At 37.3% G+C, this 13,336-nt stretch overlaps 1 protein-coding gene and 1 pseudogene across 12 annotated transcripts in view; both read left to right on the top strand.

Moving 5' to 3' along the window:
* CASK (calcium/calmodulin dependent serine protein kinase) overlaps positions 1–13,336 on the top strand; it is a 408,621-nt gene that overhangs the window by 349,826 nt on the left and 45,459 nt on the right. For all 12 annotated transcript variants that reach the window (NM_001126055.3, NM_001410745.1, NM_001126054.3 and 9 more), the window contains 2 exons: positions 3,983–4,061; positions 12,085–12,170. In NM_001126055.3, the coding sequence (NP_001119527.1) occupies positions 3,983–4,061; positions 12,085–12,170 (165 nt within the window). The remainder of the gene's footprint in view (positions 1–3,982; positions 4,062–12,084; positions 12,171–13,336) is intronic.
* Positions 2,700–2,806, top strand: RNU6-1321P (RNA, U6 small nuclear 1321, pseudogene; annotated as a pseudogene).

The raw sequence follows: 13,336 nt of genomic DNA, 5'->3' as shown, positions 1-13,336 counted from the left end.
ATCTAATCAAAGATTACTAGGCATGTAAAAAGACCAGAAAGTGTGACCTATAATATGGAGAATAATCAATCAAAAATGACATAGAACTGACAGATAATAGAATTAGCAGGAAAATACACTATGGGATTAATGGCAGATTAGACATTTCAGAAGAGATTAGTGAACTTGAAGACAGAGCAATAAAAACTATCAAAAATGAAACACAGCAAGAAAAAGAATTTTTAAAGATGAAAAGAGCATCACTGAGCCGTGGGACAACTTCAGTCAGCCTAATACATGGTTAATTGGAGTTCATGAAGAAGAGAGGAAAAGAAAGAAGAAATGTTTGAAGAAATAACGCCTGAAAACATTCCAAACTTGATGAAAACTATAAACCCACAGATCCAAACACCATGGCAAACCCCAAGCACAAGAAACATGAAGAAAACAATACCAAGCTACATCATAATCAAACTGCTTAGAACCTATGACAAAGAGAAAATCTGAGAAACAGACCAAAAAAAAACAAAAAAAAAAAGAAAGAAATTGGGAGACAGAGGTAGGAGAATTGCTTGACCCTGGTAGGTGGAGGTTGGAGTGAGCCAAGACATCATGCCACCGCACTCCAGCCTGGGTGACAGAGCGAGACTCCATCTCAAAAAAAAAAAAAAAAAGAAAAAAGAAATTTTACACACAGAGGAACAAACATAAGGATGACATCAATGTCTTATCGGAAGCAGTACAAACAAGAACAGTGTCATAAAGTACTAAAAACAAACATTTCTCAACTTAGAATTCTAAACCAAGCAGAAGTATCTTTCAAGAACAAGAAGGCAAAATAAAAATGTCTTCAGACATACCAAAACTGAAAGAATTCAGCAGACCCACACTATAAGACCCACAGTATATTTAGGACATTCTTCAGGCAGAAGGAAAACGATAACAGATTGAAATCTGAATCTACAAAAAGGGAATAAAGAGCACTGGAAATGATAGCTATATGGGTAAATCTATAAGTTCTTTTTCTTATTACTTCAATCTCTTATAATTGGCAATTTAAACAAAAATAACAATGTGTTTTAGAGTTTATAGTATATGGAAAAATAAAATGTATGACAACAGTAGCACAAAGGTCAGGAAGAAAGACATAGAAGTACTATATACTATTGTAAGGCTCTTATATGATGTAGGGGGGATAAGGGTTATATGTGAAGTGGTATAATATCACTTGAAGGTACACTGACAAGTTAAAGATAGATGCTATAAACCCTAATGCAACCACTAAAACAACAAAATGAAGAGTTGTGAGAGAAAACACAGGAGAGAAAACAGAATAAAAAATAATACAAAGAAAGGCAGAAAAAGATAACAGAACAGGTGGAACAAATAGAAGTCAAATAGCAAGAATATATATTTATACCAGACTGTATCAATCATCATGTTCTGCTTGTAAAACATGCACTTCATACACAAAGAATAGTTTCAAAGTAAAAAGGTAGAAGCCAGGTTTGGTGGTGCATGCCTGTAGTTCCAGCTACTTGGGAGGCTGAGGCAGGAGGATCACTTGAGCCCAGGAGTTCGAGGATGCAGTGGGCTATGATTGCACCACTGTGCTCCGCCTGGGTGACAGTGTGAGACTTCATCTCTTAAAAAAAAAAAAAAAAGTAAGAAGATAGAAAAAGATATACTGTGATAACATTAATCAAAAGGTAGCTGGAGTAGCTTTATTGATATCAAAATATATTCTCAGACCACACTGGGATTAAATTAGACATGAATAACAGAGAGAGATAAATCGCCAAGTACTTGAAAATTAAATAACACAATTCTAAGTAACCCATGAATTAAAGAGGAAATCAAAAGGGAAATTAAGAAGTATTTTGTAATGAATTAAAATGAACCACAGTATGTCAGAATTTGCAGGATGCCACTAAAGCAGTACTTAGGGAGAAATATGTACCATTAAACACCTATATTAGAAAAGAAGAAACATCTCAAATCAATGACTTCAGCTTATACCTTAAAAGTAACTAGGACAAAATGGAGTAAATTAAACCCAAAATGAGTAGAAGAGAAGAAATAATAAAGATCAAAGTAGAAATTAATGAAATAGAAAGCAGAAAGCAATAGAGTATCAATAAAACAGAAAATACTTTTTCTTTGGAAAGATCAGACTGATCAGGAAAAATGGCTATACAATCACGGGGAAAAAAAACATGAATTACCAACATCAGGCATGAGAGAAGGGGCATCACTACAGAGTCTACAGATATAAAAAGGATGATAAAGAAATAAACAGATTTATGCCAATAAATTCAACAACTTAGATAAAATGGAAAAATTCCCTGGGAGACAGAAACTACTAAAGCTTATTTAAGAAGGAATAAACTGAATTGCCCTATACTATCTGAAAATTGAATTTGTAGTTAAAAACTATTCCTCAAAGAAAACTCCAGGTCAAGATGGCTTCACTGGTAAATTCTGTCAAACATACAATGGAGAAATAATACCAATTCTATACAAACTCTTTTCAAAACATTGAAAAAAAAGGAATTTTTCCCAGCTCATCCTAGAAAGCCAGCATTGCCCTGATACCAAAACCAGTTAAGACATTACAAAGAAAGAAAACTATAGACTAGTATTCCTCATGAATGTAGATGTAAAAATTCTAAACAAAGTCTTAGCAAAGCAAATCCAACAATATATGAAAAGGTTAATATGTTCTCACTTCAGCAGCACATATACTAAAATATAAACAGTACAGAAAATATTATCATGGCCTCTGTATAAGGATGACATACAAATGCATGAAGTGTTCCAGATCTTTAAAATATATATATGTTATGATCAAATGGTGATTAACCCAGGAATACAGCTTTACTTATAATAGCCCAAACCAGGAAACAATTCAGTGGGTGAGTGGATAAACTGATATGTCCATACAATGGAATACCACTCAGCAAGAACAAAGAACAAACTACTGATACATGCAACATCATGGTGGAATCTCAAAATAATTATGCTGAGTGAAAAAAACAACAAAAAAGAGTTCATACTGTATGATTTCATTTATGTACAGTGCAAACAAATCTGTAGTCAGCAAAAGTTGACTGTATCAGCCTTTGGTCGACAACTATATTATCAGCTTTTTGATTGTCACATTAGTAGTTGCTTAGGGATGTGGTGGGGAGGGTATGGAGGGATGGGAGAATATTACCAACGAGCATGAGGAAACTTTTGGGAATGATAGATATATCACTATCCTGATTGTGGCCATAGTTTCATACATATGTCAAACTTATCAAATTGTACACTTTAAATATGTGTATGTCAATTATATATCAATGAAAACTGTTTTTAAAAATAATAGGCAACATTAAAAATGGAGCAACAGGGAAAATAATCATAATTAGAAGATTTAAAAGCACTATCGGCCAGGCATGGTGACTCACACCTGTAATGCCAGCACTTTGGGAGGCCAAAGCAGGTGGATCACTTGAGGTCGGCAGTTTGAAAACAGCCTGGCCAACATAGTGAACCATCTCTTTCCTTACCCTCGTCTCTACTAAAAATACAAAAATTAGCTTGGCATGGTGGCAGGCACCTTTAATCCCAGCTACTCAGGAGGCTGAAGCAGGAGAATCACTTGAACCCTGGAGGTGGAGGTAGCAGTAAGCTGTGATTGTGCCACTGCACTCCAGCCTGGGTGACAGAGTCTCAAAAAAAAAAAAAAAAAAAAGAAAAAAGAAAAGAAAAGAAAATAGTGTGTTAAAAGCATTATATAAAATATATGTATATAGCAATCAAAAAATCAAAAATAGTATTTTTGTCATGGAGCAATTTTGTGTGCGTGGCATACTGGATGGTCTTCTCCATTTTCCATATTTTCTTTAATTTTTTTTAACTGGTAATTAAAATTATCTACCGCAAAATCACAAATATTAAGAGAAGCACTGTCATAGTAATTCTACTTTTGCTGAACTTTTTATTTTTTTTTTAACAGGGAATCACTTTAAAAATGAATGAACTAAATCATTGTATTGTTGCAAGAATTATGCATGGGGGCATGATTCACAGGCAAGGTAAGTTTCATATATATTTCTTTCTTTGCCTTCCTTAATTTTTTTTCCCTGTAGCCTAGTGAAGAAAATGTTTTTGTTTGTTTTGTTTTTGAGATGGGGTCTCTCACTATGTTGCCCAGACTGGTCTTGAGCTCCTAAGTGCAAGCAATCCTCCCGTCTCAGCTTTCCACAGGTGCATGCCATCACACCCAGCTAAGAAAGTATAAAGGATACATATAAAGAATCTTTTAAAATCATCTTTGATTTTAATCATTATTGGCCTCCATTGTTTCTTATTCATCTGCACAGGCTCCAGCATGTAGATAATGAAGGGAGAATATATTAGAGTTCTGTTAGCCAGAGCATCTCTGTATTAGATTACTACTTACGGGGACCACGGGAGATAAAGCAAATAATTACACTGGGCCTCACGATGTAGGAGAGACATCTGTTCTAGAGTAAAAGATATATGTAAATAAATAACCATTTAAGAAGTGTTCTCTCATTCATTTAGGAATTAGATATGCTATTTATAAATTAGGACATCATAGAGTTAAATAATACAAAAATTAAATGGTAAGAGATGTCAAATCGATGATTAAATTATTAATACCTGCCATGGTGAGTGCAGTCATTCTGTGGAGAGAATTCACTAAGAACTGGAATAGACAAAGAATGATGTGGGGGTTTTTTTTGAGACAAGGTCTGGCTCAGTCACCCAGGCTGTGCAATGGCACAATCTTGGCTCACTGCAACCTCTCCTCCCGGGCTCAAGCAATCCTCCCACCTCAGCCTCCTGAGTAGCTGGGACCACAGGTGCACACCACCATGCCTGGCTAACTTTTGATATTTTTGTAGAGATGGGCTTTTACCATGTTGCCCAGGCTGGTCTCCAATTCTTGAACCCAAGCAATCTGCCTGCCTCCTCCCAAAGTGCTGGGATTATAGGCATGAGCTACCTTGCCCAGCTCGAAGAATGATTTTTTAAGAAGGTGCATCTTCAGTTAACTCTCAAGGATGGGCAGGGTTTGGATATGTGGATTTAGGCTTTTTCTTTGAAAGGATTGAGTTATATGCACTAGTATTTAGAGGATGTTCCAAAAATGATTCTTCTGGCAGACTCTCTGTCTTTGAGATAGGGTTATTTTTGTACTTAACACCTCTTTCCTTACCCCCAGAGAGCGAGAAGTAACACTCTAAGCATTTTAGTGCCTTATTCTCCTCTTGAGAATAAGAGGAGATCACTGTGTACACAACATGATGTCTGGCATCATTGCTGCTTTCAGAGGAATCCTTGTAGGCGTAGAGGGTGTACAGCACTCCCACAGGAGGATATTTGGTTTTAGATTCCAGTATGTGTTTTTTGTTTGCTATTTTTAATAATTTTTATATGTTCAGTAAAGCCACAACATCATTCTTTCTTTTTTTTTTCTTTTCTTTTTTGTTTTTTATTATACTTTAACTTCTAGGGTACATGTGCACAATGTGCAGGTTTGATACATAGGTATACATGTGCCATGTTGGTTTGCTGCACCCATCAACTCATCATTTACATTAGGTATTTCTCCTAATGCTATCCCTCCCCCAGCCCCCCACCCCCTGACAGGCCCCAGTGTGTGATGTTCCCCGCCCTGTGTCCAAGTGATCTCATTGTTCAGTTCCCACCTATGAGTGAGAACATACGGTGTTTGGTTTTCTGTCCTTGTGATAGTTTGCTGAGAATGATGGTTTCCAGCTTCATCCATGTCCCTGCAAAGGACATGAACTCATCCTTTTTTATGGCTGCATAGTATTCCCTGGTGTATATGTGCCACATTTTCTTAATCCAGTCTATCAATGATGGACATTTGGGTTGGTCCCAAGTCTTTGCTATTGTAAATAGTGCTGCAATAAACATACGTGTGCATGTGTCTTTATAGTAGCATGATTTATAATCCTTTAGGTATATACTCAGTAATGACATGGCTGGGTCAAATGGTAATTCTAGTTCTAGATCCTTGAGGAATCGCCACACTGTCTTCCACAGTGGTTGAACTAGTTTACAGTCCCACCAACAGTGTAAAAGTGTTCCTATTTCTCCACATCCTCTCCAGCACCTGTTGTTTCCTGACATTTTAATGATTGCCATTCTAACTGGTGTGAGATGGTATCTCATTGTGGTTTTGATTTGCATTTCTCTGATGACCAGTGATGATGAGCATTTTTTCAGGTGTCTGTTGGCTGCATGGATATCTTCTTTTGAGAAATATCTGTTCAAATCCTTTGCTCACTTTTTGATGGGGTTCTTTGTTTTTTTCTTGTAAATTTGTTTGAGTTCTTTGTAGATTCTGGATATTAGCCCTTTGTCAGATGGGTAGATTGCAAAAATTCTCTCCCATTCTGTAGGTTGCCTGTTCACTCTGATGGTAGTTTCTTTTGCCATGCAGAAGCTCTTTAGTTTAATTAGATCCCATTAGTCTATTTTGGCTTTTGTTGCCATTGCTTTTGGTGTTTTAGTCATGAAGTCCTTGCCCATGCCTATGTCCTGAATGGTATTGCCTAGGTTTTCTTCCAGGGTTTTTATGGTTTTAGGTCTAACATTTAAGTCTTTAATCCATCTTGAATTAGTTTTTGTATAAGGTGTAAGGAAGGGATCCAGTTTCAGCTTTCTACATATGGCTACCCAGTTTTCCCAGCACCATTTATTAAATAGAGAATCCTTTCCCCATTTCATGTTTTTGTCAGGTTTGTCAAAGATCAGATGGTTGTAGATGTGTGGCATTATTTCTGAGGCCTCTGTTCTGTTCCATTTGTCTATATCTCTGTTTTGGTACGAGTACCATGCTGTTTTGGTTACTGTAGCCTCATAGTATAGTTTGAAGTCAGGTAGTGTGATGCCTCCAGCTTTGTTCTTTTTGCTTAGGATTGTCTTGGCAATGCGGGCTCTTTTTTGGGTCCATGTGAACTTTAAAGTAGTTTTTTTTCCAATTCTGTGAAGAAAGTCATTGGTAGTTTTATGGGGATGGCATTGAATCTATAAATTACTTTGGGCAGTATAGCCATTTTCATGATATTGATTCTTCCTATCCATGAGCATGGAATATTCTTCCATTTGTTTGTGTCCTCATTTATTTCGTTGAGCAATGGTTTGTAGTTCTCCTTGAAGAGGTCCTTCACATCCCTTGTAAGTTGGATTCTTAGGTATTTTATTCTCTTTGTAGCAATTGTGAATGGGAGTTCACTCATGATTTGGCTCTCTATTTGTCTGTTATTGGTGTATAGGAATGCTTGTGATTTTTGCACATTGATTTTGTATCCTGAGACTTTGCTGAAGTTGCTTATCAGCTTAAGGAGATTTTGGGCTGAGACAATGGGGTTTTCTAAATATATAGTCATGTCATCTGCAAACAGGGACAGTTTGACTTCCTCATTTCCTAATCAAATACCTTTTATTTCTTTCTCTTGCCTGATTGCCCTGGCCAGAACTTCCAACACTATGTTGAATAGGAGTGGTGAGAGACGGCATCCTTGTCTTGTGCCAGTTTTCAAAGGGAATGCTTCCAGTTTTTGCCCATTCAGTATGATATTGGCTGTGGGTTTGTCATAAATAGCTCTTATTATTTTGAGATACGTTCCATCAATACCTAGCTTATTCTGAGTTTTTAGCATGAAGGGCCATTGAATTTTGTTGAAGGCCTTTTCTGCATCTGTTGAGATAATCATGTGGTTTTTGTCGTTGGTTCTGTTTATATGATGGATTACGTTTATTGATTTGCGTATGTTAACCAGCCTTGCATCCCAGGGATGAAGCTGACTTGATCGTGTTGGATAAGTTTTTTGATGAGCTGCTGGATTCGACGTTCCAGTATTTTATGGAGGATTTTCGTATCAATGTTCATCAGGGGTATTGGTCTAAAATTCTGTTTTTTTGTTGTGTCTCTGCCAGGCTTTGGTATCAGGATGATGTTGGCCTCATAAAATGAGTTAGAAAGGATTCCCTCTTTTCTGTTGATTGGAATAGTTTCAGAAGGAATGGTACCAGCTCCTCTTTGTACCTCCGGTAGAATTCGGCTGTGAATCCGTCTGGTCCTGGACTTTTTTTGGTTGGTAGGCTATTAATTATTGCCTCAATTTCACGGCCTGTTATTGGTCTATTCAGAGATTCAACTTCTTCCTGGTTTAGTCTTGGGAGAATGTAGGTGTCCAGGAATTCATCCATTTTTTCTAGATTTTCTAGTTTATTTGCATAGAGGTGTTTATAGTATTCTCTGATGGTAGTTTGTATTTCTGTGGGATCGGTGGTGATATCCCGTTTATCATTTTTAATTGCATCTATTTGATTCTTCTCTCTTTTCTTCTTTATTAGTCTTGCTAGCGGTCTATCAATTTTTTTGGTCTTTTCAGAAAAACCGGCTCCTGGATTCATTGATATTTTGAAGGGTTTTTTGTGTCTCTATCTCCTTCAGTTCTGCTCTGATCTTAGTTATTTCATGCCTTCCGCTAGCTTTTGAATTTGTTTGCTCTTGCTTCTCTAGTTCTTTTAATCGTGATGCTAGGGTGTCGATTTTAGATCTTTCTTGCTTTCTCTTGTGGGCATTTAGTGCTATAAATTTCCCTCTACACACTGCTTTAAATGTGTCCCAGAGATTCTGGTACGTTGTGTCTTTGTTCTCATTGGTTTCAAAGAACATCTTTATTTCAGCCTTCATTTCGTTATTTACCCAGTAGTCAATCAGGAGCAAGTTGTTCAGTTTCCATGTAGTTGAGCGGTTTTGAATGAGTTTCTTAATCCTGAGTTCTAATTTGATTGCTCTGTGGTCTGAGAGACAGTTTGTTGTGATTTTTGTTCTTTTACATTTGCTGAGGAGTGCTTTACTTCCAATTATGTGGTCAATTTTAGAATAAGTGCAGTGTGGTGCTGAGAAGAATATATATTCTGTTGATTTTGGGTGGAGGGTTCTGTAGATGTCTATTAGGTCCACTTGTTGCAGAGCTGAGTTCAGGTCCTGGATGTCCTTGTTAACCTTCTGTCTCATTGATCTGTCTAATATTGACAGCAGGAAACATCATTATTTCTTTAACTTCTCTTTGTTATATTACTGCACTGGCTAGGACCGGCAGTCTTTCAAGGAGTGGTATAGTAGACATCCCGTCCTATTCTTGTTTTTAAACGGAATCTAAAGTTAGCCGGGCATGGTGGCGCTCACCTATAGTCCCAGCTACTCAGGAAGCTGAGGTGGGAGGATTGCTTGAGCCCAGGAGTTCGAGGCTGTAGTGAGCTATGATCACGCCACTGTACTCACCTGGGTGTCGGAGAGAGACCTTGTCTCTAGAAAAAAATGTTTTTTTAAAAAGGAACCTTTCCAATATTTCTTCATTAAGAATAATGTAGATTTTTAGTACATGCCTTTTATTAGGGCTAAAGAAGTTCCTTTATATTCTTAGTTGCTGAGCATTTTAATTGTGAATGGGTTTTGAATTTAATCAAATGCTCTTTCAGAATCTGCTGAGATGATCATTTGTTTTTTTCCTTTTATCTGTTAATGTGGTGAATGTCTTTTAAAGATTTCCTAATGATAAACTACCCTTGCATTTCTCAGATAAACTCAGCTTAGTCATTACATATTATCTTTTTTATGTACTGCCCGACTGTCTGCTAATGTTTTGTTTATAAGATCTCAGTATGTGCATTTATGAGTGAGACTGGCCCGTAGTTAATTTTCCTCTCTTGTATTTCTCTGATTTTAGTTTCAAAGTTATATCTACTTCACACAATGACTTGGAGAGTATTCCCTCTTCAGTTCTCCGAGAGATTTTATATAATATTGGAATGATTTGTGTCTTGAAAGTTTGGCAGGACTTGCCTGTAAAGTATCACAGCCTAGTGTTTTGGTTTTTAGTTTTAAGAAAGTTTTGTTTTTGTTTTTTAACAACTGCTTCAATTTCTTTAACATTAAAAGGCCATCCAGGCTTTCTATTTCTTGAGTGAGTTTTGGTAAATTACATTTTCCTAAAAAAAAATAAGTTTTAAAATATTGCAGAGAGCTTCTTCATAGTATTCTCTCATCTTTTTATTCTCTGCCATCTTTGTCATTATGCCCCTGTTCATTTCTAATATTGTTTATTTGTGCCTACTCTTTTTTTCTTGATCAACCTTGCCAGAGGTTTGTTCAGAAACCCACTCTGGGTTTGGTTCATTCTCTTCATTATATGTTTATTTTCTGTTTCATTGTTTTATGACCTAATTTTTATTATCTCCTTTTTTTTTAACTTTCTATTGGTTTTGGCTAACTTTACAAATTTGACACATAGTTCATTTATTTCCAGTCTTTTTTTTTTTTTTTTTTTTTTTTGAGACAGGGTCTTGCTCCATCGGCCAGGCTGGAATGCAGTAGCATAATCATAGCTCACTGCAACCTCGAACTCCTGGGCTCAAGTAATCCTCCTGTCTCAGACTCCTGAGTTAGGACTACAGGCAACCACACTCAGCTAATTTTTTTAATACTTTGTAGAGATAGAGTCTTGCTTTATTGCCCAGGTTGGTCTCAAACTCCTGGCCTCTAGTGATCTTCTCGCCTCACTCAGCCTCCGAAAACACTGAGGTTATAGACATGAGCCACCATGCCCAGCCTTCTTTTCTTTTCTTTTTTTTTTTTTTTTTTTTTTTTTGAGATGGAGTCTCGCTCTGTCGCCCAGGCTGGAGTGCAATGGTGCAACCTCTGCTTCCGGGTTCAAGCGATTCTCCTGCCTCAGCCTCCCAAGTAGCGGGGATTACAGGTGCCCACCACCACGCACAGCTAATTTTTATATTTTAGTAGAGACGGGGTTTCACCATATTGGCCAGGCTGGTCTCAAACTCCTGACCTCATGAGCTGCCCACCTCAGCCTCCCAAAGTGCTGGGATTACAAGTGGAAGCCACCATGCCTGGCCCAGCCTTCTTTTCTAATATGTGCCTTTAAGACTAAACTCTCCCTCTAAGTACTGTCTTAATGTATCCCACCAGTTTTGACATGACGCATTTTTATAACTCAGTTCTAAGTATTTTTATATTTCTATTATGATATTTTTCATTGACCTATATTATTTATAATTGTCTGTTACTTTTCACACTTAACAGGATTTTCTGTATATCTTTTTGTAATTTACTTCTAACTTAATTACATTGTGGTCAGAGAATGTAGTCTGTATGACACCATTTCTTTGAGGTTTGTTGAGACTTGCTTTATGGCATAGCACTTTAATCGTTTTTATAAATGGCCCACGTGTACTTAAGATGAATGTTTATTCTTTAATTGTTGCATGCAGAGGTATCTTTTTGTAATGAAGCCAGGTCAGTGTGTACATTTCTGCACAATTTATAAATAAGGAAGCAACATTGTAAATAACACTCTAAGCATTGGTTCTTGGTCATTTCTTTCTAGCTGAAGTATTACAAGATGCTGAAATGCCAACCAAAAGATTAAATTATCTTTAACAGAATTTGCTGTTGTGTAGATATTATCATGTCACAACTCTTGGAAAATTGACAACCTTCGTATCATATCTGGTAGATAACGATAGCAGCCAACACTGTCATGGTGCTTGGTATGTGCCAAGAACAGTTCTAAGCCTTCTGCATTTATTAAATTTGTTTAGTTCTTAAAACAATCCTATGAGATGGGTACTATTTTCATCTCCATTTTACAAATGTGAAAACTGAGGTATGGAGAGTTTCAGTAATTTACCCAAGATCTTAAAGCTAGTAAGCAAGGAAGCTGGAATTTGAACCCAGGCAGTCTGGATCCAGAAGCCATACTTTTAAACCACTATACATACCACCTCTCTCAGAAAAATAGATTTCTGCAGCCATCCATCAAAACTGTGCCTTCCACAAGTAGATATATCTGTTTTGATGAGGTTACTACATGAGTTAAATAATTCTGCTGCAACCAAACTTGTACCTGCCTCTGAAATATTGGCCCTCAATATTCAACTTAGTTTTTAAAAATTACATTGATGCCTCTGGATTTTGTTACTATGAAAGCATATATCATTTCATGTTTATAATGTTATATAATTTCTTAGGTACACTTCATGTTGGTGATGAAATTCGAGAAATCAATGGCATCAGTGTGGCTAACCAAACAGTGGAACAACTGCAAAAAATGCTTGTAAGTAAATGAAAGTTTTTCCTTTCCTAAAATTGACTTTTACTTTGTTAGCTTGTTTTTAAATATACAAATAAGGAGTATTCTTCTGTAATCAGAGAATTTCTGGTACCATATTTATGTGGACTTGAACTTATATAACATTCATAAAACTGACAACTAGAAAAATGTTGAAATACAATAGAGTTTACAAACATTTTGCCTGTCTTTAGCAGTGTGGGCTTTAACACTCTCCTTTTATCCTTTATCTCCTGTTTCTTACCAAGCAGATGATTAAAGAAAACCTTTTCAGTGTTTGTACATGTGAACTAGTTTCTCACTGACCTCAACTCTCCTGACATCAGCAGTGTCAGAAACCTCTTTCCTGTTGAGCTGAGTCATAGCCAGCTGTCGTGGATTTCTCTACAGCATAGAAGGGAGGAAAGCCACGGTAGACCAGGCCATTTTTGACCATACATATCCAAAATCTGTATTCAAATTAGGCTTTGGATTTTTTAAAAAGGCAAAATGACAGCCTTTGCCTATGTTCATTGTCATAGCAAGCAGACAGAGGTGTTTGGGGCCTCTGATCCCTTTTCCCACTGCAGTGTAGTAGCACCCAGGTTATGAATACCTATTAAGTATGAAATAAGCTTCACAGACTCACCAAACATTTTTTTTTCTTTTTTTTGAGACGGAGTTTTGCTCTTGTTGCCCAGGCTGGAGTGCAATGGCGTGATCTCAGCTCACTGCAACCTCTGCCCCCCGAGTTCAAGGGATTCTCCTGCCTCAGCCTCCCAAGTAGCTGGGATTACAGGCATGCGCTACCACACCCTGCTAATGTTTGCATTTTTAGTAGAGACGGGGTTTCTCCATGTTGGCCAGGCTGGTCTCGAACTCCCGACCTCAGGTGATCCACCAGCCTTGGCCTCCCAAAGTACCGGGATGACAGGTGTGAGCCACCACTCCCAGCCCAAAATTTTTTTTTAAAAAAAAGCCAAAATTAATAAGCAAAAAGTGGCTGGGTGCGGTGGCTCATGCCTGTAATCCCAGCACTTTGGGAGGCCAAGGTGGGTGAATCACCTGAAGTCGGGAGTTTGAGACCAGCCTGGCCAACATGGTGAAACCCCGTCTCTACTAAAAATACAAACATTAGCAAGGCATGGTGGCGCGTGCCTATAATCCCAGCT

This window comes from Homo sapiens, chromosome X, assembly GCF_000001405.40.
Source record: "Homo sapiens chromosome X, GRCh38.p14 Primary Assembly".
NCBI lineage: Eukaryota > Metazoa > Chordata > Mammalia > Primates > Hominidae > Homo > Homo sapiens.
Note: the sequence above shows the minus strand (reverse complement) of the source record. Positions and strands in the feature narration are given on the sequence as shown.